Source organism: Homo sapiens, chromosome 1 (genome assembly GCF_000001405.40).
Source record: "Homo sapiens chromosome 1, GRCh38.p14 Primary Assembly".
NCBI classification, from domain to species: domain Eukaryota; kingdom Metazoa; phylum Chordata; class Mammalia; order Primates; family Hominidae; genus Homo; species Homo sapiens.
Window position 1 is genome coordinate 170,024,925 of NC_000001.11, and position 26,692 is coordinate 170,051,616.

At 35.6% G+C, this 26,692-nt stretch overlaps 1 protein-coding gene across 10 annotated transcripts in view; it reads right to left on the reverse strand.

Moving 5' to 3' along the window:
* The window catches only part of KIFAP3 (kinesin associated protein 3), a 163,856-nt gene that overhangs the window by 103,596 nt on the left and 33,568 nt on the right, over positions 1 to 26,692 (reverse strand). For 9 of the 10 annotated variants that reach the window (XM_024454186.2, NM_001204516.2, NM_014970.4 and 6 more), the window contains 6 exons: positions 21,788 to 21,942; positions 14,309 to 14,364; positions 13,366 to 13,507; positions 10,530 to 10,629; positions 9,448 to 9,572; positions 6,962 to 7,060 (listed from right to left, as the gene is read on the reverse strand). In XM_024454186.2, coding sequence (XP_024309954.1) covers positions 6,962 to 7,060; positions 9,448 to 9,572; positions 10,530 to 10,629; positions 13,366 to 13,507; positions 14,309 to 14,364; positions 21,788 to 21,942 — 677 coding nt within the window. Of the gene's footprint in view, positions 1 to 6,961; positions 7,061 to 9,447; positions 9,573 to 10,529; positions 10,630 to 13,365; positions 13,508 to 14,308; positions 14,365 to 16,752; positions 16,917 to 21,787; positions 21,943 to 26,692 lie in introns of all 10 variants that reach the window. The other variant, NM_001204514.2, reaches the window with a different exon arrangement.

Genomic DNA, 26,692 nt, shown 5'->3' on the forward strand with positions numbered 1-26,692 from the left:
AGATAAGTCAGGAAAAAATAAAGCAGACAGAGGAAAATAGTTTTTACACATATAGAAAACAAGATAACATATCATAAAACTTTAATAACTAAAGTCTGCTGTGTTAAAAAGTGCAATAATCCAAAATATACAGTATAGCTACAGCTAAATTTGAGCCTACTAAAATCAACTTTTCATATGCAAACTGATTTTCTGTTAGTCACTATAAGAAAAGACCTTATGAAATTCAGTAATACAATTATTGCACTAGACAGAGTTGAAGCCATTGTTTGCTAGTTTTAAGTAAAATTTCTTTCAGATTTGTGTAATAAAAATGCTTAGGTTCTCAAAAGAAACATTTGCTTTTTATAGTGAAAATGATATTAATAGATAATGCTTTCCATTTTTCCTTGATTGACAGTGAGCTTCAGAGTTCAATTTCTGTAAGAATTATATAGGCTTTTATGGTCAATATAGTCTTTTTGCTCTCTTGTGGCCTCATTGTTTTAGTATTTCACTTCATGTATTCTTGCAAACTACCTCTCAACACTTATGAAAAGAAGAAATACATGCATATGTATATACATAAGTAGATAAATATAAAATTTATTTATTTAACAAATATTAGAGATGGAAAGTTAAATCACACTTATTAAGTACCTATTGTATGCCAGGCCTGTTGATGTATAAAGGCTGTTTAAATTCTAAAACAGTTTTATGAGGAAAGAAGTATTATAAAAATTTTACAGATTGGAAACCCCTGATTCAAAGAAATTAAACAACTTTCCCTACCATACAGCTAGAAAGTGGTAGTGCTAAATTAAAATTCAAGTCTATCAGAATCCAAAGCTCATATATTTACACTATTACATTATGCTGACTTTCTATGCAAGGCACTGTCAAAAGGTTTTAGAATTACATTGAAAAAACAAACAGACTTCTCTTTACAGCCAAGATAGAGGTAGCCGGTTGAATACTGTCCTTCTAAAATTTATGTTCACCCAGAACCTCAGGATGTGCCTTATTTGGAAATAGGGTCTTTGCAGATGTAATTGGTTATGGTGAGGTAATAATGGATTAAGGTGGACCGTGAATCCAATGAGTGGTGTCTTAAGAAGAGGAGGAGGTGACATAACAGAGACCGACAGAGTGGGAAGAAGGCCATATGAAGACAAAGGCAGAGACTGGAGTGATGTAGCTAAAAGCCAAGAAGCACCAAGAATTGCTGGGACCCACCAAAAGCTAGAAAGAGACGAGAGAAGATTCTTTTCCAGAGCCTTCAGAGAGAACGTGGGCCTGATGATACCTTGACTTTGGCCTTCCCCCATCCAGAGCTATGACAGAATAAATTTCTGTTGTTTTAAGCCACCCGGTTTACGGTAATTTGTTATAGCACCCCAGAAAATTAATAGGATGGGGTTTTAAACCTTTGCCTGACAACACCACAAAAAAATCTAACTGAAATACACAAAACAAAGATTTTCACAATAGTGGACACCAGACAATGAAGGACAGTAATCCCTGAGAGATAAGAAATAAATGAGATAGTCCTATGTTTGCCCTAGAATATTGCCTTGAGAGTTTCCAGGTCACAAAACAGTGAAGGAGAATCCAGGCAGAACCTGATAGAATCCCTGAGTTAAGGAGATGAAGCCAAGAATCCAGAGACGCCAAAGAGTTCACAGAAAAGAGTACTGAAGAAGAAAGAGCTGAGCAGAGAGAAACTCTGGAGTTCTAACAGAGGTCTCCCTCAAATACTGAGTTGAGTATTGATTGGAGCATAGGAATTTAAGTGAGGCTGGGACAGAAAAAAATGAGAGGAGTAGAAGAACAAAGCTGAAAATAATGCCTGCTTCTACCAACCATACTGGCAATCCCATAATTCATGCATTAGTGGGTAGAGCCCTGAGAAGGGTCTTACCTCCGTAGTGGGAAATAACTAGCTTTATACTAAATGCTGCTTCTGTCCAGACTAACAAATTATAAGATTAAGATCCAAAAGGATCAAACTGTTTCCAAGTAATTTAACTATGTCCCCAAATAAAACTCAAAGATATTTTTAGGAATAAAAAAGTCCACCTACAACAATGTAAATTTCACTGTCTTGCTTCTTTTTTTTTTTTTTTTTTTTTTTGAGACAGAGTTTTGCTCTTGTTGCCCAGGCTGGAATGCAATGCGTGACCTTGGCTCACTGCAACCTCCACCTCCTGGGTTCAAACAATTCTCCTGCCTCAGCCTCCTGAGTAGCTGGGATTATAGGCATCCACCACCAACGCCTGGCTAATTTTGTATTTTTAGTAGAGATGGGGTTTCACCATGTTGGTCAGGCTGGTCTCGAACTCCTGACCCCAGGTGATCTGCCTGCCTTGGCCTCCCAAAGTGCTGGGATTACAGGCATGAACCACCGCGCCTGACCCTGTCTTGCTTCTAATCAAAGATTTTCAGTCATACAAGAAGCAGGGAATATAACTCACAAGGAAGAGAAAAATGAACCAATTGCAACTGTCCAAGAATTGACCTAGAGTTTAATTATAAAAACGGAACATTATGTCATATAACTGTATTCCAGATCTTCTAAAAGTTAAGTAGAGACAAGGGAGATATAATAAAAAATATTCAAACTTCTATCACTGAAAACTACAATGCTTGAGACTATAAACTAGATGAAATTAACAGCAGTTTAGAGATAGAAGAAAAAAAGATTAGTGAAACTGAAGACATAATCACAGAAACTATCCAAAATTAAACAGACAGAAAAACATGACAAAAATGTAGAGTATCAGAGAACTGTGGAACAACTTCGAGTGGCCTAATATATGTTTAACTGAAGTCCCTGAAAAAATAATAACAGAAACATTTCCAAATTTAGTGAAAATTATAAACCCAGAGTTTCAATAAGCTCACTAAACTCTAAAAACAAGAAACAGAAAAAAAAATTACACCAAGGCCCGGTATAATAAATTGCTCAAAACGAATGATGAAGAGACAATCTTAAAAGCAGTCCAAGAAAAAGAGACCTTATATTAATATATAGACAAAGATAGCATGACAGCAGACTTCTCATCAAAAACAATGCAAACAAGGCAACAGTGGAGCAACATCCTTACAGTATTAAAAAAAGTTGTCAACCTAGAGTTCTAAACCCAGTGAAAATATTTCAAAAAGATAAAAATATTTTTAAAATGAGACTTTTTTAGACACACAAAAGATAATTAACCACTGGTAAATATGTCCTACAAGAAACGTTAAAGTAAATTGCTCAGGCAAAAAGAAAATGACAGCACACAGAAATATGGATCTACACAAAGGAATAATATCAATGGAAATGGTAACTCTACAAGGAAATATATAAGATTATTTTCTTATTAAATATATCTTTAAAATAAAATTATGTATATAAAATGATAATGTGTTATACAGTTTTTTGTTTGTTTGTTTTTGGCTTTTTTTTCTGAGACGGAGTCTCGCTCTGTCACCTGACTGGAGTGCAATGGTGCGATCTTGGCTCATTGCAACCTCCGCTCCCAGGTTCAAGTGATTCTCCTGCCTCAGCCTCCTGAGTAGCTGGGGACTACAGGCGTGTGCCACCACACCCAGCTAATTTTTGTTTTTTGGTGGAGACAGGGTTTCCCCATGTTGCCCAGGCTGGTCTCAAACTCCTGACCTCAAGTGATCTGCCCACCTAGGCCTCCCAGAATGCTGGGATTACAGGTGTGAGCCACGACATCTGGCCTTATTATAGGGTTTATAACATATGTATAAGTATAATAAATGTTAGTAATAGCATAGAGTTGGGAGAGGGAAGAAATGATTGCAACACTAAGCATGAAATGGCACAAAATACTTGACAGCAGAGTTAACTTATGATAAGTTAAGCATGTATCACTTGTAGGTAGACAACTATGATTAAAGATGTATAATATAAACCTTAAAGCAATCAATAAAATAACAAAAGACTTATAGCTAAGCTAACAATGGAAATAAAATAGAATTTAAAAAATCTCAAATACGTAAGAAGGCAGACAAGAAGGAAAAAGGAGGAAGAAGACACATACTCACACAAACATGCAAAGCCAATCTAAATGCTGTTCATAAAAAAACACACTTAATATAGACATAAATATATTAAAAATAAAAGGATAGACAAATATATCCCATACTAACACTAGTCACAAGAAGAAGTAGATTAACATAAGAAAAGGTAGATTTCAGACCAAAAAATGTTACCAGCCATGATGAAGAACACTTCATACTGATAACAAGGACAATTCATCAATAGCACATCTACATCCTATATCTTTATGTCCCCAAGAATACAGAGCTTCAAAAATACATGTACTGAAAACTGATAGATGTGCAGGAGCAATAAATAAATCACAATTATAGTCAGAGATTTCAATATTACTCTCTCAATAATAGAAAAAGTACAGAAAAGCATCAACACATGTAAAGCCTTGAACATCAATTATTTGGGAAAAAAATAACTCCCTTCTAAATAACCCAAGGGCCAAAAAAGAAACCAAAAGAGAAACTGGAAAGTATTTAAACTGAATGAAAATGAAAACAGGACATATGAAAATCTGTGGGATGCCATCAAAGAAGTGCTTAATGGGAAATTTATAGCACTAAATATCTGTATTTGAGAAGAAAGGTCTTGAGTAAATGACCTCAGCTTCCACTTAAACAACAACAACAACAACAACAACAACAAAAAATAAGAGTATATTAAACCCAAAGTAAGCTGAAGAAAAAAAATTATAAAGATCAAAGTAGAAATCAATGGAATAAAAAATTGGTAGGGCTAAAAGCACCCAATATCAACATTTTCCATAAGCTATGGTAATGAAGACACTGTGCTATTGGCATCAAAAACACACAAAAGTGATGGATAGAACAAAATAGAAACCCAAAAATAGGCATGACACATTGGACAAATGGTTCTGACAAAGATATAAATCAATTCAGTAGATAAAAGATAGTGTTTTCAAAAGTAGTACTTAAATAATTAGCTATTTATATGCAAAAAGAATGAAGAACTTTGATCCATTCCTCACCCCATATACAAAAATTAACTCAAAATATATTATAGCCTTAACTAAACTCTGAGACTATACAACTTCTAGAAGAAAACATATTAGAAAATAATTGTAACCTTTAGTTAGGAAAGGATTTCTTAGACACAATACCAAAACCATGATCCAAAAAACACTAAGTTGGAATTCATAAAAATGTAAAATTCTGCTCTTAAAAAGATACTTTAGGAGAACAAAAATTTCTGCAAATCATGTATCTGATAAATGCTTATATCCAAAACATATAAAGAATGGATACAAAACTATCCAATTTAATAATAAGGCAAAAGTTATGAAGGCACACTTCAATAAACATAAAGAGATGGCAGATAAGCACATCAGGAGATGCTCAACATTAATCAGTCACTAGGGAAATTCAAATCAAAACCACATACATTCATGGTGAGAATATAAAAACAACTATTATAGAAAAACATTTGGCAGTTTCTTACAAAGTTAAACATACACCTATCCTATGACTCAGCCATTCCATCATTAGGTATTTAACTAAGAGAAAAGAAAGCGTATGTCCATACAAAGACTTGTAGAAAAATGTTCACAGCAGCATTAAAATTGCCAAAAACTGGAAATATTCTAATGATCATCAACAGGTGAATATAAGGAAATACTATTCAATAACAAAAAGGAATAAACTATTGATAAATGCAATAATATGGATGAATCTTTAATTATGCTGAGTAAAAGACAAAAATGCATACATACTATATGATTTCATTTATATAAAACTCTAGAAAATGCAAACTAAGCTAAAGTGACAGAAAGCAGATCAGTGATGACTTGGGAATGAGGAAGAAGGCAGAAGGAAGAAGGAAAGGGAGAGATTGTAAAGATGCATGAGGAAATTTTGGGAGTGATGGATATGTACCTTATCTTGATTATGGTCATTATTTCATGGGTATTTACATATGTTAAAATTTATCAAATTATATACTTTAAAACTATACAGTTTATTGTCTATCAGTTATACCTCAATAAAGCTGTTAAGAGAGTATACAATATTTGCATAAATATTTGGTTAGAAACAGAGCTTAAAGTTTTGCATGTTAAAAAAGTCAAATTAGTTCTTTGAAACTTTTACATGAAAACAATTGCTTTCTTGAGATCTGATGCATTTTGGATTATATGCTAACACAGATAATACCTATTATTTTCTAGCATATTTTAAAATGAACCTTTGAAAATCTGACATTTTCTCCAACAGGTTGAACTAAATTACTTGGCTTCAAATATTTAAAAAACTCAGTGTAGTTAAAATTGCTACTAATCTTCACAGGATGAAAATATTTTGGGAGTTAACAAGTATTTCCATGTACAAAGTTAGTCAAACACCAATAAACTACATGAATCATCAAATAGTCAAGTATAAATCCGGACTTAAATTCACACTTAAAAGCCCCATGTCATTATCACTAACCACCATAAGATTTTACATCTTATCAGTAACCAAGAAACCATACTATTGAAGTTTTAAATATCTTAATAAAGCTAGAGACAAGGAATTCTTTTCTATTAAACAAGAGAAATATTTTAAAATGTTTATATCAATTTCCTAGGAAAGCAACAAAATAATTCACTTTATAAAACAAGTAAGTTAGGGCTGAAGAGACAAAGATTGATATTATTGAAAAGGTCACACACTGGATTAAAAAATCCTTTCTTAGGAAATAAATAATAAGTATACAAACATTTAGGAACTAAATGGGGAAAAATAGTAGAGTGAAATTTAAAACATTACCCATGCTAAAGACAGACGAACTTGTAGCATATTAACATTTATAGAACTTTCAGCTATTCTCACATTAGCTTTACAGGTATGATAAAAAGTGAACAAAACAAATGTATTTGGAGTAAGTACTTTGTTGCTTTCCTCATTGCTTAGGAATTCATACCTCGTAATAGCTGTTCCTGTTTTACCACAAGCCCCTGGTACTTTTTAAAGGTTTTTTCATAATCCTTTCTCAAGGTTTGGTTTTCAGGGTCTTCATCAAGTAAACAACTTGTTAAGGATCATCCATACTCATTGAAGCAAAAAAAATCTACTGATAAATTCTATGAACAATGGCACTATTAAATTTTATGTGCAACTTTATCCAGTTATTTTTCTCACCAAAAGTTTAACTAAAATGTTATCTGCATAATAACTGTGCTGTAACAGCACTTCTTATTTAAGTGCTCATGGATTCCCTGGGAGTCTTTGGGTGAACAAACTTTTTTATGTAGCCCACAGCTAACATCATATAGATATTTGAACCTCACCAAATACTTGAATTCCCAGAAACTATATGTGAATATTTTATATAGGTGCACAAGTCTATAACTTTCAACAGATTATCAAGTGGGTCCACGAACCAAAAAAATTACTGCCTCAGAAAGTGATTTAGTTACTAAGAACACTGGATTTTACTTCAGACAGATGCCCAGAATATTCAAAGGATATAGATTAAATCTAAAGCTTTTGTAGCAGCCTTTTCAGACTAGAGATGCCAAGAAAGAACTAACCCAAACTTAAAGGTAAACAAATTTTAAAAATCACATCTTCTGGTCCCAAATCGTCCTCTGGACTTCTTGCAAAAATAATCAGTTACTTCAGTATCCCCAAGCATATGAGTCAAGCATATGACCCCAGAATATGAGTCAATGCAGCTGACCTTGTTGAATACCACTTGTATCAAAATACAAAGAAATTTAGGACATAATAAAATAGCAACATGTCAGGAGAAATGACCAGAATTCTGATGTCATTTTTATATCCCTTCAATTACCATAATCTGTTGAGTCTAAGATACATTTTCCTCACATCTTAACATCTCCAAAACTGGATGTGTCTTATAATCCCTGATGTGTCATAGTTTAATTGAAAGCATATGTTCCTCTCCTCGCACTTAAACAATAGTGAATCTTAAAATTAATGGTGTCTGATACAGAAATACAATATGTCCTAAGATATCAGTTCTTGTCACCAAACAATAACAAAATGCAAATTCATGATTGCTAAAGAGTTCCACTAGTGGTTCCCTCCATACTTCTCCAGTTTAAATAAATTTTGGGTACCACTGAAGCATTCAGGAGTCTTGTGACTCCAGAACTGATGTAAAGTCTCTAGGATTCTTGGGTTGTTGATGTAGTTGAGTCACTATCAATCTAGATGCCAGAAGTTTATGGTATGCATAGAAAATTTATAAACCTGAAAAGATTCTAATTAAGAAAAGTCAAAGCTTGTGTGTGGGTGTGGATTTTATAGTGTCTTGGAGTTCCATGTGACAACAGTAAAAGCCTGAGAGATTTTGTACACAATAACCTGAATTAACCTGTTACAACATAGATTAAATTGAAGCCTCAGGGTTTCCAGAGGCCAAAATTAATATAAAAGTAAGGTCCACTTTTGCACAAAGCAGAGTTAAAAATGTATGATATTCTGCAAAATAGGAATAAAGTTTTCACTTTTTAAAAGACATAATAAACACTTGATTCAAAGGAAAGTTACCAGCATGCCTAGTTGATCTGCAAAACATATCATGGTTGAACAGATATGAATAAACCAGGGGCCTTTGATCTAGAAGCATTGAGTTTAGAGGCTAAAATATGATAAATATCTTCAAATATGAGAAGAATTATGATGTTGAAGAGAATAGCCTTATTCCATATTGCTTTAGTATACAATACTAGAACCAATGGATAGAAGTTATTGGGGAATGGACTTCAGTGCACTAAGCAAAAGACTATTATAATAAACAGAATGCTAAACCACAGAATGGGTGAAATAAATAAACACTGACATTGTTAAAGAGGAGCCTATGTAATAGCATTTGCCAGGGAAGTTGCAGAAATATTTTTATATTTGTAAGATAGGTTAAAACAGATACCTAAGTTTCCTTTCACAGGTTCTATTATTCTATAGGCCTTTCAAATTTTTATTTATTAACAACAGTATTTTTGCACTTTCCTAGAAAAATAGAACCTTTAACTAGGTTCATCACCAAATTTACACCCATTCTAATCAAAGTCACCTTAGTACTCACACAGAAGTATATAAGCAGCAGTGGTGGGCCAGGCTTCAACTAACCAAAGGATCTTAGTGGATGTAATGATGTAACCACTTAGAGGCTCACCTACTAAGTTACCCGACACAACTATTACCTGCTCCTTCTACCTCATTAACTAATAAAGGTTGTGAAGAGACAAAAAGTGAATATCAAACTGTATTCATTTTGATAGTTTCAATCTACTTCTTAACCTTCAATAACACACTCCTGCATTGTTTCCAAGTAATGTAATTAACAATTTTTAAAAAAGAAAAAAGAACAAAACCATCCCACCCATCCAAAACTTAAAGCAAAAGACAACAGACGGTTCAAATGCCACTCTAAAAGGATATCAGCTTTCTTCTTCTTTGAGAGTTCTTCTTGCCAAAGCTCATGTCTTTTTAACTCATGATCAATAATATTCATACACAGAGCTCCAATTTTATAGTGAGTAATAAGTCCATGAAATTGAGAAAAGCTTTAAAGAAGACATTTTAATATATATTTAAAAGAATACATTTTATGGGTACAGGAAATTTGTTTTTGGTGATCACTGGTACGAACCATGTAGAAAATAAATTTGATATACATATTTTAATAAATGAATATATCCACAATACACTAGGAAGACTTGCGATTATAAAATTACTTTAAATATATCACACTACTCTTACCTAAAATAGTTATTTTTAAGAAGTTAGAAAGTAGACATTTTTTGTAACTAACCACCATATTAACTACTCAGATATTCAGAATAGATTTTTAGATTATTGTCTAACAAAACTAATAATGTAGCAATACTAGACATACATTTTATTTATTGTATAAAACTGACATCAGAGAATTCGTAAAGTACTAGTAATCAGGTTTTACATATGTTTTCTAGACAATACATTAATCCAAGTATTTATTCAATAAATATTTATTTGCTAATACTAGCACATTTTTAGAACAGAAGCAGCAATTATCTAGGAATTGGGTAGAAACTTTTCATAATGTCTTAATAAGTATCTTCTTTCTTAAGGATATATGTGTATAAATAATAAATACAATACATAACAGGTATGTGTTTGTACATACATGCATATATATAACAATAACATTTACTGAGCACTTACTCTGGGTCAGGCTTTATTCTAAGTATTTTAATTTTTAATTCATTTAATCCAAAAAACTATCCAAAGAGGGTGCCACTATTACTATCCAAATTTTACTCATAAGGAAACTGAGGCATGAGTGGGTATAGACTAAATGAAAGATAGAATAACAGATAGCAAGACAGACAATGGAAAACAGGAATAAGAATTCAGCAGTAGAGCATAGGCAGACACACAGAAAAACTGAGAGAACAAGTGATCTACAAATTGAATCAATGACACAGACAAAGAGCAATAGAGATACAGTAGCCTTTTTATTTAATAATTTTTATACTTACCTGGAGAAACAAAAAAAGATGTAAATTATGTTTGTAGCTAACTCGACACTTTGCTTCCAGTCTTCTCTCAGGACCCTTGCTAATGCACCAAGGGCAGTTTCTAAAGAAAAAGGAGAGGTACCGAAACGATCATTCTCCTTGCTCTGGTATAAAGGGTGATTGGTTTTAAATGTCTAGTTATTAATGAATAATAAAGCTAAGATAGAACTGGGACAAAAAGTAGGATGCTTCTTTCCAATACAGACAGCTACTTTTAAAACTAAAATGTAATTTTACTTAAAGATACGTAACATGCTGCTTCAAGTATATACTATACACAGAAGTAATCAAATATGATTTAGATAAAGTGACATATGTTATGGTGACAATAAAATAATTAAAAAGCCTTTCATTTCTTAATTTAATAACCTTAAATTAAGAACTGTAATCTTCCTACTTCAGTACTGATTTTTTTCTTTTTAACATCTGATTTAATGTATTTGATAATATGAAAAAAACTTGAATAAGTCTAGAAAAAAATGAGCAGGTTAGTAGACTAACACTCGTTCCATTAAAGCAAATTAAAAACCAAATAAAATCTATACACAGAAAAATAAATTTAATATTTCAGTATCACACTGAATTTATGCTAGTAGCCACAAATAAAACAAAAAGCTTTCACAAAATTAACTTTCAGGTAGGTTAATAAGCATTTCTGCTAAAATTTTCTCTTGAGGAAATGAAAATTATAAAGTAATGACACTAGTTTCAAATCAGGTTGGTACATGGCATACTAATTCTTAAAATAATTAAAATATCTGTATGTTAAAATATAGAAATCATAATTCCACTGTTCTTAATAGATACTCAGGATTTACAATAGTACTTTATGGACTGCATTATGAGTATTTATTATGGTAATGAAAATGTCCCATATTTGAGCTTTCTGGCTATTCAGACTATGAACAAAAATTGATTGTATTAGTTATGAATCCACGTAGTGACAAATTTTTTAGCAAATTAAAAATCATCCTATGATAGCATTTCACAGTATTATTCACATTCACAATGCAGAGAACTTGAATAGTACATGCTTTGAAAAAAATTATTTTGGAGTCACATAAATAGGTTGACAATGCATATTAACAGCAAAGCCTCCAAAAAGTCCTATTTAATAAATAATCTGGTGTAGCTTTGTTCAATCTAGTAATTCCCAAAGGTATTTGACCATTATAATCCAGATAAAATAGTATTTCTTTAAATACTAGCCTATACAGAACTGTTCTATAATGTCATAAATTTAGGCATAGGTTTAGTGGCCTATTTGCAAAATTTTATTTCATTTTTCTCCTTAAAACAGAATAGAGAAACATCTCAATTAAAATATAGTTACAGGAGTTGTACACAGTTTACTGAGAAACAGCTAAAAGAAAATATAGTTTACAAGAGGTCAAAAGACAACACAAAATTAATTTCTACATTGAATGCAATCATAATCAAAATCCCATTACGTCTTTTCACAGATTATGATGAAGTAATCTCAAAATATATAAGACAAATGTGCAAGACCAGTAAAGCCAATTTTGGGGCAAAAGAAAGCAATTTGGAACATTTTTCCTACATATTCTAAAGTTCAAATCAAAATACAAAACAACACAGCAATAGTGTGGTATTGGTATGTATATCATCAAATAAACCAATGGAACAGAAGGAAAGGGAACACTAAAACAATTCCATGAAAATATGGAACAGTACCTGCCACAGAATAAGTTTTCAAGAATTATCTACTTCATAAAAGAATGGCAAGCATATAGCAGAAAAGACATTTGAAATACTTATTTGAAAGTACTGATCGACAAAACTATTGATTTGAATTATCTTATCCAGGTATTTGGCAACAACCAGAAAGGCATTCTCTCTCATGTAATGCAAACCAGATAATAAATACATCTTTCCTATTTTGTTTTTGGCAAATGTATAATCAGAAAACTATGCATTTAAAATGATTCTATAGGCAGGGCGCCTGGTGGCTCACACCTGTAATCCTAGCACTTTGGGAGGCTGAGGTGGGTGGATCCCCTGAGGTCAGGAGTTTCAGATCAGCCTGACCAATACGGTGAAACCCTGTCTCTACTAAAAAAAAAAAAACAAACCACACACAAGGAGTGGTGGCACGTGCCTATAATCCCAGCTACTCAGGAGGCTGAGGTGGGAGAATTATATGAACCCGGGAGGCGGAGGTTGCAGTGAGCTGAAGGTTGCAGTGAGCCAAAGGTTGCAGTGAGCGGAGATCGCGCCACTGCACTCCAGCCTGGGCAACAGAGGGAGACCCTGTCTCAAAAACAAAAACAAAACAAAACAAAAATGATTCTATAGTGGTGTTATTGAGAAAAGGGTGTTAAAAACATTCTATCTCCTTTTCTTGTTACTACCAAGTACTTTTAGTGAAAGGAAAGCAAACACTTGATGTGAAATTCAATCTCAATGAAACTGCAAAGATTAATAGCTTTCCCTGTGCTACTGAGAAAAAATGAATATTGGAACTTTAATTTAATAAAACATGATATATATATTTATGCAAATGTCTAAAGTTTGATCTTATATCCTACTTGAAACAATAAAAAAGCTTCCCAGAGTAGAAGAAAGAAAAGGTATAGTACCATTAATGCTTAATTTTCCTTGTTTACATTAAATGGTTTGTGAATTCTCTGGAGAATATTTAAATGCTACACTCTCAATTTAAGAAATCTGAGTAAGAAAGAAATAAAGAGCTGGAAAATATATGAAGTCTTAAGTTTTGTATAAATAACTGTAACTTATTCCTCTATTATAATTAAACATGTTTTATAGTAATCACCATTCAATAGTAGTTCTTCCAAGTTATCAGGATTTCGAGCAAGCTGCAGGATCAAAGCAGAACCCCGAACTTTGTCAGGAATATCTTCATATAATAACTCAATATATTCATCCATGTCATTAATGTTAGCAACTTCATCAATCTGAAACAAAGAGGCAGAAAGTACTCATCAACAATGCTCAACAGATCCACTGTCAAAGAAATGTTATTTTGTGATCAATATACTGGCCTTTATAACAACACACAAATTTCCAAAGAACTCATAGTAGCCATCTTTTTGGATATGGAAATTTTAGACCTTTAGACCTAGGACTCTAATACAAAACCCCATGATAAAATGAGATTTATATAAACTTTAAAAATTGTCTATCAATATAAAGTATCTTAAATGTAATAGAAAATATTTGTATCTACTACAGTAGATTAAACAATATTTCAAAACGTATTACAATAAGAATATGTAAACATTTTTACCCATCATTTATCAAAATTAATTGTCTAGAAAGCACACCTAGCCAGGCACGGTGGCTCACAGCTACAATCCCAGCACTTTGGGAGGCTGAGATGGGCAGATCACGAGGTCAGGAGTTTGAGACAAGCCTGACCAACATGGTGAAACCCCATCACTACTAAAAATACAAAAATTAGCTGGGCGTGGTGGCACATGCCTGTAATCCCAGCTACTCAGGAGGCTGAGGCAGGAAAATCGCTTGAACCCGGGAGGCGGAGGTTGTGGTGAGATGAGATAGAGCAAAAAAAGCAGAACCAATACTTTTTCTCTTTTTCAATTAAATAATGATTTTCTACCTTTTCAGGTACCTCTGAGTTCAGTCATTTTTTAAAAATACCACATGTGCTTAATGTGATTGTGTGTATTATTGATGGAAAAAGGCAATATCTTATAATCCAGTCCTCTATTAGATCAGAATGCATGCAGTCTTACCTCCATTCCTTCAAAAGGAGGTGGATCTTTAGGCTTGCTTGATTTTTCTTTTTTCTCTGTAAAAAGATTTTTTTTTAATAAGGAGACTTAGGTTTTTAGGGTTTCTAGGTAATTTTTATTTTCAGCAGCTGAGTTTAACTCTAGGTAAACTGGGGATATTAAAACTAAATAGTTTATGAAATAATCTCTTCTCAATGCATAAAAATGTTCATATATAATCCACTTGATCTAATGAGGATATCAAGGAGAGTATAAATTAATAAAATCTATAACTAATCACCAACTTCCTCCTTGGTTAACTTTTTGGGTATATAAGGTATACAGTCAGACTTGGCAACAAGAAGCAAAATAGTCTGTTCTAAGTATCCTCTCTTTCCCTTCCTAATTCAAATTTAAGGTAGGAATAGGAAAATCAATAAGGCAAAGAAAAAAGTACGACTTGAGTAATATAAAAACTAAAATGAAAATTAACAAAGCAGAAAGAAAAAAAAATTGGTAAATTTAAAACCTAAGATATAGAATAGTTGCTAACTGGTTCTTTTTTAACAAGTAAAATTAAGATAATAAATTAAAAGGCAAACATTTATTACGTGTGTTAATTAAATCCTCACTTATTCCCAAATAAAGAGGTATCCAAAGGTGTTGAACACAAGTTTGAGCCATTCGTTTATATTGAATTATCTGATTAATGGCATAATTTCATTTTTTAACAAAAAAACTATCAAATATACTTTATGGATCTGGATCATAAGTCTAAGTAATGTATGTAAATTAAAGTAAGTTAGAATGTTATCAAAATTTTTGATTCCACAATTAGCAAATAAATATATGATAGAATTAGTCATTATTTTCAGAGGACAGCACCCATTCTGTATAAGCTCATACATTCTCAACAGCTTAATTCTGCTTCAAACAGATAATTTACTAAGACAGTGGTTTTAATTATGCAAAAAAAATCACTGAATGTAATGAATCAAATAAGTATTATTATTTTGTTTCAATCACTTTTAAGATAAGGTTTCTGGCTTTGGAATACCGCTTACCAAGTAAAAGAGTTTTAACAAAGAAAACCAATAGTTTTCTAAAAAGTGTATATTTAATATACATTTCCTAAAGCATTTCCTATATCTTCAATTATTAATAATACTCTACCTGGGTAGAGAAAATATTGATTTGAATTATTTTATCCATGTATGATGACATAGAAATTTTTTCATATTCCTCTAATTTCTGGGGAGCAAGATAAAACCACTGATTTGCCCCAAAAACTCAGTGAAAGAGTTTTTACTAGTTCAAAGATATTTTATTCTAAATGCCTTCAGAATTATATTAATGTGGCACTAGGAAAGATCAACTATACTATACAACCTACAATAAGTAGACGCAGATCTTAAAAGACTACCAGATTTGCTTTTCTACTTGGATTTATTGGACTATGCGATCTCTCACCATTTACAGACATCTTAACAAGAATATTCTACCAACAAAATATTTGTTTAATAAAAATCTCCCTTGATAATATTTTCCTTATCTACGTAGTACTTAACTGAATGCCAACTATGTGATTAGAAGCAATCATGTTCAAAATGTCTATTTTTGCTTTTTTTTTTTTTGAGATGGAGTCTCGCTCTGTGCCAGGATGGAGTACAGTGGCATGGTCTTGGCTCACTGAAACCTCTGCCTCCTGGATTCAAGCAATTCTCCTGCCTCAGCCTCCTGAGTAGCTGGGATCACAGGCGCACACCACAACGCCCAGCTATTTTTGTATTTTTACTAGAGATGGGGTTTCACCATGTTGGCCAGGATGGTCTCGATCTCTTGACCTCGTGATCCGCCCGCCTCGGCCTCCCAAAGTGCTGACATTATAGGCGTGAGCCACCACACCCAGCCCTTTTTGCTTGTAAATAAATTTACAACCATTTAATTCATTCAACAAATATATTTTGATCATCTATGTTAGATACTGTATTCACAGCTAAAAAAAGTATATATTAAGTACAAGGCATTTTATTAGCTGTGGATGAAGAGAGACTGACTAATTTGAAAAAATTCCAAACAAAATTTTCTTTTTTTTTCCTACTTAGTCCAATCAAAACTTGAGCATTGATACATTATTTTAAGAGCACCAGCTGGGCACAGTGGCTCATGCCTGCAATCCCAGCACTTTGGGAGGCCAAGGCAGGAGGATCGCTTGAGCCCAGGAGTTTGAGACTAGCCTAGGCAACATAGTGAGACCCCGTCTCTACAAAAAATGTAAAAAATTAGCCAGGTATGGTTACAATTTAGTGGTGAACTCATAAAGGGATACCCCTCGTAGGCATCTGCCTGTGGCTCGGTGACCTCTTAGCATTTCAGAGGCCCGGAGATGAGTCCAAGTGGCTGCCTGGCTTCTTTAAGCCAGGGGCTGTCTCTGGTGCCTCCCTTGCCAGCAAGGCATTACCGACCTTCACATAAGCTTGCTTGGAGTACAGAAACAGTTTCTGAATCTGAAAGACTTCTCCGGTAAGTGTTGCCAAGGGCAATCGACATCCCTTTTGCCTTCTCCTGATCTGTTGGCCTCCTTAAAGGTCGTGTTCCCTCTTCAGAAGTCCTGCTGACCCTTCCCAATCTGTAAAAAGGGCCCTGTTTAAGGGGAATTTCCCCAACTGGAAGGAGAATAAAGGGCAACATTTGGGGGAAGTACTCCTGGGCGATTTCGTTTCAGTTATGAAACCTGGTTTTAGAGTTCTGACTTATCAGGGTCTCATGTCTGTTCTTATCTTGTCCTGTTTGTGTGTGGGGAACCCAGAAGGAAACATTAGCAGAAGTTCAATGTGCCTAACGGGTGGAAAGGGGGGTCTGTTTTATCTGTTTTGCTAGGTTAAAACTTGGATATTGAGCCAAGTAACTGGTGTTTGTCTTTGTTATGCGTATATTGTAATTTTGTCTTGGTCGATACGGGAAATACTAACTTAATCCCTCCTACATCAAGCAGCCCCTTGGATTGTATCTTGCAAAACTGGGCAGCTTTCACCTATGAACCCATGAAAACAAAGAAAATGGTTTTCTTTCATAATCAGCAAGCAGGGTGATCAAAGCTCTGCTCTTTTGGAAGCCACAGTTTAAGAGAATCCAGGAACCTGACAAGCTGGCAACAGGGTAGTAAGAATCATTTACCAGTCAGGTTCCTGATCTCTCTGTGTGAAATCTGGCTGAGCAAAAGGTAAAAAATCACTGTCTCCTGCAAGGTTTTGATTAATAGGAGAAAAAGATGTGTATGACTAGTCTTGGGAAATATTGACTGCAGTGTACTTTTTGGTTTATGAATATTCATATTGTTCCCTTTCTTTCCAGAAATAATCTTTTCTTTGTCTTTCTGTGTTCTTCATAAAGGGGAGGTACTAACTGAGGGTTCCTCTCATCTTGTTTTATGTCCTTGAAAACTTGACCTGTGACTGAGTGGGAGCTCTATGAAACAGAACAATTCCTTTATACTATATACTCTGGTTTCAACAGTTACTTCATTTTGTTCTTCTTCTACATTGGCTACCTTCTTGGAGACCACAGGTTGCGGAGGCATTTTATATTGCCCTGACATAATTTTCCGCTTTTGTGGGTAGCTTCGAGGCTAGTGACCTGAGCTCACACAGACCCACATCTGAGCTTTCTCTAGCCTTAAGGTCCAACCCAGCAATCCCTTTTACTTTCATTTTAGCCATTATAGGTAACAATAACCAAGGAATTGAATATTACGCTTTTTTCATATTAGTTTGCATTTCCTTATGCATCCAGTGAACCAGCTCCCCAGAAGTTGTATCCATCTCCAAATTCACTGTAACTTTTACGTTTAGTAACTGGGCATAGCCTAGCTGCAGTTCCATGCCATGGATGACCACATGGTCACCCAGGAATCAAAGGTTCCTTATCCTCCATCCTTTTATTTTATAGATTAATATCATCAGCTCCCTAAAGAACCTGTATTGAAATGGATTATAAGAGTAACTAATCTGGGAGCAGTGTCTTTGGTTTCAAAATGCTGCAGAGTGAAAGAACATGTTTGGGTTCGTACGGTACCCACTGCTCACTATTAAACAATTGCAAATGGTTATACATGATCCAGAAAAACAGGACATTATTAGTGAGGAAAGACTTAGCCTAATGAACTGGATAAAAGCCACTGTAAGGTCTCTTTACCCTGAGAAAAGGGACTGTGCGACTCCACCTATAACTGCCAAGTGGAGTACCCCAGATGAAGCAGCTAATGTGGTTTGTATGCAAGCCATATGGGACTGGCATTATGATGACAGGGATATTCACCCCTTGAATATGCCCATTACCCAGGTCATGGTCAGCTTCTCCTCATGGTTCTTACAGATGCTAACAGAAAATATTAGGTTAGTTAACAAGGGAATGGTGAAGGGTAGAGGGGAGGATCAAAGGACTTATCCCAGGACGATGGGAAGTTTTAACAGTTATCAAGAAATATAATGAATGAAGAAAACATTGATAGGAGTAAAAATAAGGGGAAAAGAAAAGGGGAGAGTCATGGGTCTCATCCCAGCAGAGTGAAAATCTTTAGACAGTTATTAAGAAATTGAATGAATAAAATGGAAATTGATGGGGTTGAAATAAAGGCCTTAATTGCTGGTTCCCCCAATATTAAAGGGTACCAAATCAGTTTTCTGTACTTACCCCAATTGGAGACATCTTTTAAAAAATCAGAAGACAAAGATCAGAATGAGAAAACTGACCAAAAACTGCCTGGGGATGATGTTGAGGTGATTAATCAACACAAAGATTGACTAAAAAGCCTTGGTCCCTTAGCTAAACCCTCTGCTGGGAACCCAAATCCCTTTTCACAGGAGAGGGTAAAATGGTCTGGGAGTGAAGAGAAATTCCCAGGACCAGAACATAAAATGTAAGGGTGGATAGGATTATCAAAGTTGAAATGTTTATATAGGATTTTTGTAAAGTAATTGTGTATTCTTTACCTAAATGTCTTATGAAAATGGATATTGTATCTGACTAGGGGATGTTTCCTCTACCTAGTACTATAAAACTGAAGGCACACAAATCTGCCCTTCAAGCTATAATTAACTGGACATACTAAAATGGGAACCAGTAAGACTGCCTGAGCCCACAGAATACAGAATAGAAGCTGGAGTGCTGGTAGGAACAAATTCTCCATGTGATAGCCTTTTGTGGAATGCAAAAGTCTGTGAGCACATCCCAGTGATGACTACTGTGACTCTGAACTAGAGAATTTTCACTTAAGAGGCATTTACTGCCTTGTTATAGGACATTAACTGAAGACATTCTATGATGGAAGGACATAAAATGATCATGACATCTGAAATACCCATGCTCTTTGGGGCAATGTCAGAAACAGTCTAATTGGGGTCAGCAGTGCCCAGAAGAGTTCCACAATAAAATGGAGATACTTTGTATATGATCATGCTACTTGGGAAATTCAAGGAGGAGACACTCATGAGCAGGGAGCCTCTTTTTCCCCAGGACTGACTCTGAAACTGTGTGAGAAGCTGCAGGATTCTACAGTGCCCATTAAACAGCTCTTACCTGACTGACAAAGAGCTGCCTGGTTTATGAATGGCAATTCCAAGGTGAACAGACAACAATCTGTTTGGAAGTCTGCTACTCTGACTGAAGAGGAGTCAAGAAAACTTTTTTTTCTTTTGAGCTATTTATAGCTTATGACAAGTAAAGTATATCTTTATGAGCAAAATTTGCCTTTCTACCTGAGTTCTCACAATTGTGGAAACTTCCTTCATAAGTATTCTTATTTTATGGCAATATAGTTATTTGCATACATTCAATAAGAATCTGCTTTCTTTGGTAGCAGGACACAATTGGAGATGCTAGCTACTTTACCAAGGCTTTGACTGGATTGGCATATTTTTAGATATGACCAGACTGCTTTGAGGAGTTGACATTGACTTTACAGAGCCAATAAAAGCACCTCGGAAAGACTAGCCTTCCATCTTGTCTATGTAGTTTCTTTATAGTGTTCCTCACCTGCGATAAGTAAAAAATGTTACTTTCAACAGATCCAGAAACCTCAAGTTATTCTGGGACCTCCACAAGAGATGAGTGGAGGTCCCAAAATAACCCAATTCATATAGGTATCTGTAGGCATGGATAAATCCTTGGTTTAGCTAACCTTAAGGCTTTTAAAAAGTCTAAACTAAGATTCCTTATGGAAAAGTTTCTGCAAAGTCAACTTAAAAGAGCCTATATGGCCAACGAATATTCTTGCCATACTTTATGCAAATAGTCAGGCAAAGTATAACACTTATTTTGCAAATAAATTGGTCCTACTATAATTTGTCTTTGGTAGAAATGGAATACTAGAGATAAAAATTTTGTTTCAAAAGAAACTATAGTATACCTGTTACTAGATTCTAGTCTTAGTCTTGTCTATTACTTTTGAGTTTTTATTGTTTTCTACAATTTGAACTAAACCTGAATTCTTCCCTGGCTACAAGTCTTCAAACTAAGATTTTCAAAAATTTCTTCCATTTTTCTGACTTGAACTCTGTTCCAGACAGAAATATAGTTATAACTAAGCATTAATAGGCTATACTTTGGCCCATTTCCTTGTTGCTAAAGTCACATAGCACTACATGCTGACCATTTACATCCCCACTGTTCTTACAGACAGGATCTCTGACATTAGAATCATAAGGATTTTGCTTAAGGATCATTGAAAATGTTTTTCAGACCCTGAGTTGCAGTGAAACAGCTGATGCCAACCAGTCAGAAGACCCTCATAGAGGAATGAAATCAGCATGAGAATACAGCTTCTTCATCATCCTGTCCCATTACTTCACCTTACACTCTGACCAATCAACAATCTCCACACTTCAGCCCAGTCCAAAACCCTTAAAAACTCTAGGCCCAAACTTCTCAGGGAGATGGATTTGAGGTTTTCTCTCATCTCCTAGTTTGGTGACCCCCAGATTAAACCTTTTTCTCTGCTGCAAAAAAAAAAAAAAAAAAAGGAAACAGAGAAAATAAAGATTCATGAAAGTTATATCTTTAGGATAGTCTAAGGCATATGATATATATTTTAACACTTACATAATCCATCCAAATGATAAACAAATATAAAAAAGAAGTTTATAAAACATCAGTCTAGTTGGGGCAGTGAAAATAGGTTTTCTGCCCCAAAGTCTCTCCTTTGATTATTCTAGAATCAATATGACAGACATTTCCTTTTTTATTCTTACTTCAGTGTATGTGTACACACACAAAACATGAAAAAGAATTAGACCATTTTATGTGGAAGCATCTAATATAAAGCCTACCATGAAAGCAATTAATGTTTATTCTTTGTTGTTTACTCATTCATAACACTGGTGAAAAAAACCTACCCAACATCAAATATCAATAGTTTGATAAACTTTTTTTTATAGTTGCTTGATGAACTATAATCAAACAACTTTGGATTTGCATTAGGAAGCCAGGAATTCTACTACTTACCTTTTCCTGACAATGAATCACGGCGGTTCTGTAGATAGTACAACAGCTGTTCTACCTCATTTAGTTTTGAAGGATGAATGAGTTTACATTCTTCAACCACCTTCCTTGCCAGGGAAGTTATATCTGTGTTGGCATTGAGACTCTTAAGTCGAATGCTGTAAGTATAACAGAATTTTTCAACTCACGTATTATAAAAGTAATAACTTCAATACTACTACTTTAAAATAATTTATAGATTATAAATTATTATAGAGAACCTGGCCATAGACTCTTAGTAAAATAAACTATTAGATATAATTAGGCTTAGAAAAATACAAGGCAGTGATTTTCTGTGAACTAGACAAACAAAATAACAAAAGGAACATAAAATCTTTTTCAGACTCTCTAGGCAAGACAGCATATTCAGAGATTCTGTTTTAAAACAGTATTTCTGATATAAAATATATAAAGTCTTTAGCATTATTAAATGTAAGAATCCATACCATCATAAATAAATCATTTTCTTGACCATACCCACAAATGCTAACTTTTTTTCAGCTAGGGACAAGACACAATATTGATATGTTCAGATTCAGTTGTTCTGGTGGTAACTATATAGAAGGTAAAAGCAAAAAAAAAGTGAGATCTGGCCGGGCACGGTGGTTCACGCCTGTAATTCCAGCACTTTGGGAGGCCGAGGCAAGGGGGATCACGAGGTCAGGAGTTTGAGACCAGCCTGGCCAATATGGTGAAACCCTGTCTCTACTAAAGATACAAAAAATTTGCCAGGTGTGGTGGTGCGCGCCTGTAATCCCAGCTACTCGGGAGGTTGAGGCAGCAGAATTGTTTGAACTTGGGAGGCAGAGGTTGCAGTGAGCTGAGATCGCACCATTGTACTCCAGCCTGTGTGACAGGGCGAGGCTCTGTCTCAAAAAAAAAAAAAAAAAAAAAAAAGTGAGATCCACTTTAAGATCTATATGAGGAATTTTGAGGAACAAATGAATACATTTTATACTTAAGTTAGTGCACTAAAAAACAATAATTAGCCAACACCTCCCTCCTTTTAAAGTTAGCCCAGGAGATTCACTGGGAACCCATTAAGAAACCATTATTAAGAGTTTGGAAACAATTACCTAGTTACACGGATTCAGGGTACCAGGAAGAGATATAAAGACATAAAATTAGGTTCAAAGTGAAGAGTCAACCTAGTGTCAAAAGACTGTCAAGCAAATGCTCCCATGCAAGGTTCTTTTGAAAAAGAGAAAGATGAACAAGCAGCCACTGTGTAGAATTATTTTGTGTTAAAGATGGCTAATTTTTGTTGGAAGACATCAAGGAATTAGAAGGGCAGGAGTGGGGATCTCAGAGCAATGTCCTGTAAGCTTATTATCCATATGTAGATGATTTCTCCCGAAACCATTCCAGCAGAATGACTTAGATATTATTCCCAGCTATATATTCAACCCCAAATCTGGTTCTCCTGGGGTTCTACAAGCTATGTAATAGCTTTTAATAAATTCCTTTTCTGTTTAAATTTGCTAGAGTGCCTTCTAATGTTTACAAGAAGAACTCTAGCAGTATTCTGTCCCTTTATTTCTTCCTTATTTGGGTTTTTTTTTTTTTGGTTCCTACCTTTTAAGTCCTTTAATTTTATTATATTTTTATATAGTTTTAGCTGCACATCAGAAGGCATAGAGAGAAAGGTCAATACAGAGAAAAACTCTAAAAAGACCTCTAGTTTGCTTCCAATTATTTGCAATTATGAGTAAAACTGCTATAAACATTCAAGTGCAGCTTTTTGTGTGAACATGTTTTCAACTCATTTGGGTAGATATCTAGAGGCATAAGGAGGGGCCAAGATGGCTGAACAGAAACAGCCTCAGTCTGCAGCTCCCAGTGAGACCAACGCAAAAGGTGGGTGATTTCTGCACTTCCAACTGAGGTACCCAGTTCATCTCACTGGGACTGGTTAGGCAGTGGGTACAACCCATGGAGAGCAAGCAGAAGCGGGGTGGCGGGGGCGTCGCTACACCCAGGAAGTGCAAGGAGCTGGGGGACCTCCCTCACTCAGCCAAGGGAAGCTGTGAGGGACTGTGCTACCTGGCCCGGGTACTATGCTTTTCCCACAGTTTTTGCAGTCCGCAGATCAGGAGAATCCTTGGTGAGCCTATAACACCTGGGCCCTGGATTTCAAGCACAAAACTGGGTGGCTGTTTGGGCAGGCACCGAGCTAGCTGCAGAAGTGTTTTTCTTACCCCAGGTGCCTGGAATCCCAGTGAGACAGAACTGTTCACTGCCCTGGAAAGGGGGCGGAAGCCAAGGAGCCAAGTGGTCTCACTCAGTGAGTCCCACTCTTATGGAGCCCAGCAAGCTATGAACCACTGGCTTGAAATTCTCACTGCCAGCACAGCAGTCTGGAGTTGATCTGGGATGATCGAGCTTGGTTGGGGGAGGTGGGTCTGCCATCAGTGAGGCTGTAGTAGGTAGTTTTCCCCGGACAGTGCTAAGGAGACTGGGAGGTTTGGACTGGGTAGAATTCACCACAGTGTGGCAAAGTGGCTGAGGCCAGACTGCTTCTCTATATGCCTCCTCACTGGGCAGGGCATCTAAGAAGGAAATGCAGCAGCCTTAGGGGCTTACAGATAAAACTCTCATCTCCCTGGGATAGAGAACCTGGCAGGAGGGGTGGCTGTGGGCACAGCTTCAGCAGACTTAATCTTTCCTGCCTGCTGGCTTTGATGAGAGCAGCTGATCCTGACAAGGGAAATTCTCCCAGCACAGCACACCAGCTCTGCTAAGGGATAGACTGCCTCCTCAAGTGGGTCCCTGACCCCCATGCCTCCTGACTGGGAGAGACCTCCCAACAGGGGTTGATAGACACCTCATAAAGGAGATCTCTGGCTGGCATCAGGCCAGTGCTCCCTCTGGGACGAAGCTTCCAGGGGAAGGAGCAGGCAGTAATCTTTGCTGTTCAGCAGCTTCCACTGGTAATACCCAGGAGGACGGGGTCTGGAGTGGAATTGCAGCACACTGCAGCAGACCTGCAGAAGAGGTGCCTGGCTGTTGATACAAAAACTAACACACAGAGAGCAACAACAACAACATCAACAAAAAACACCACCCCCCCCCAAAAAAAACCCATACAAGGGTCATCAGCCTCAAAGATCAAAGGATAAATCCATGAAAATGAGAAAAAAACCAGCGCAAAAATGCTGAAAATCCCAAAACCCAGAATACCTCTTCTCCTCCAAATGATCGCAAGTCCTCTCCAGCAAGGGCACAAAACTGGATGGAGAATGAGATTGACGAAATGCCAGAAGTAGGCATCAGAAGGTGGGTAATAACAAACTCCTCTGAGTTAAAGGAGCATGTTCTAACCCAATGCAAGGAAGCTAAGAACCTTGATAAAAGGTTACAGGAACTGATAACTAGAATAACCAGTTTAGAGAGAAACATAAATGACTTGATGGAGCTGAAAAACACAGCATGAAAACTTCGTGAAGCACATACACAAGTATCAATAGCCAAATCGATCAAGCAGAATAAAGATTAGAGATTGAAGATCACCTTGCTGAAATAAGGCGTGAAGACAAGATTAGAGAAAAAAGAATGAAAAGGAACAAACAAAGCCTCCAAGAAATATGGGACTATGTGAAAAGATCAAACCTATGATTGACTGGTGTACCTGAAAGTGACAGGGAGAATGGAACCAAGTTGGAAAACACACTTCAGGATATTATCCAGGAGAGCCTCCCCAGCCTAGCAAGACAGGCCAACATTCAAATTCAGGAAATACAGAGAACACCACTAAGATACTCCTCGAGAAGATAAATCCCAAGACACATAATCATCAGATTCTCCAAGGTTGAAACAAAGGAAAAAATGTTAAGAGCAGCCAGAGAGAAAGGTCAGGTCAACTACAAAGGGAAGCCCGTCAGACTAACAGCGGATCTCTCTGCAGAAATTCTACAAGCCAGAAGAGAGTGGGGACCAATATTCAACAATTTTAAGGAAAATAATTTTCAACACAGAATTTAATATCCAGCCAAACTAAGCTTCATAAGCAAAGGAGAGATAAAAACCTTTCCAGACAAGCAAATGCTGAGGGATTCTGTCACAACCAAGCCTGCCTTAAAAGAGCTCCTGAAGGAAGCATTAAATATGGAAAGGAAAACCCAGTACCAGCCACTGCAAAAACACACCAAAATATAACGACCAATGACACTGAAGAAACTACATCAACTAATGTGCAAAATAACCAGCTACCAGCATGATGACAGGATCAAATTCACATATAACAATATTAACCTTAAATGTGAATGGGCTAAATGCCTCAATTGAAAGACACAGACTGGCAAATTGGATAAAGAGTCAAGACCCATTGGTGTGCTGTATTCAGGAGACCTATCTCACATGCAAAGACACAGGCTCAAAATAAAGGAATGGAGGAATATTTACCAAGCAAATGGAAAAAAAAAAAAAAGCAGGGATTGCAATTCTAGTCTCTGATAAAACAGACTTTAAACCAACAAAGATCAAAAAAGACAAAGAAGGGCATTACATAATGGTAAAGGGTTCAATGCAACAAAAAGACCTAACTCTCCTAAATATATATGCACCCAATACAGGACCACCCAGATTCACAAAACAAGTTCTTAGAGACCTACACTACAAAGAGACTTAGATTCCCACACAATAATAGTGGGAGACTTTAATACCCCACTGTCAATATTAGGCAGATCAATGAGACAGAAAATTAACAAGGATATTCAGGACTTGAACTCAGCTCTGGATCAAGTGTACCTAATAGACATCCACAGAACTCTCTACTCCAAATAAACAGAATATACATTTTTCTAAGTGCCACATGGCACTTATTCTAAAATCGACCACATAATTGGGAGTAAAACAATCCTCAGCAAATGC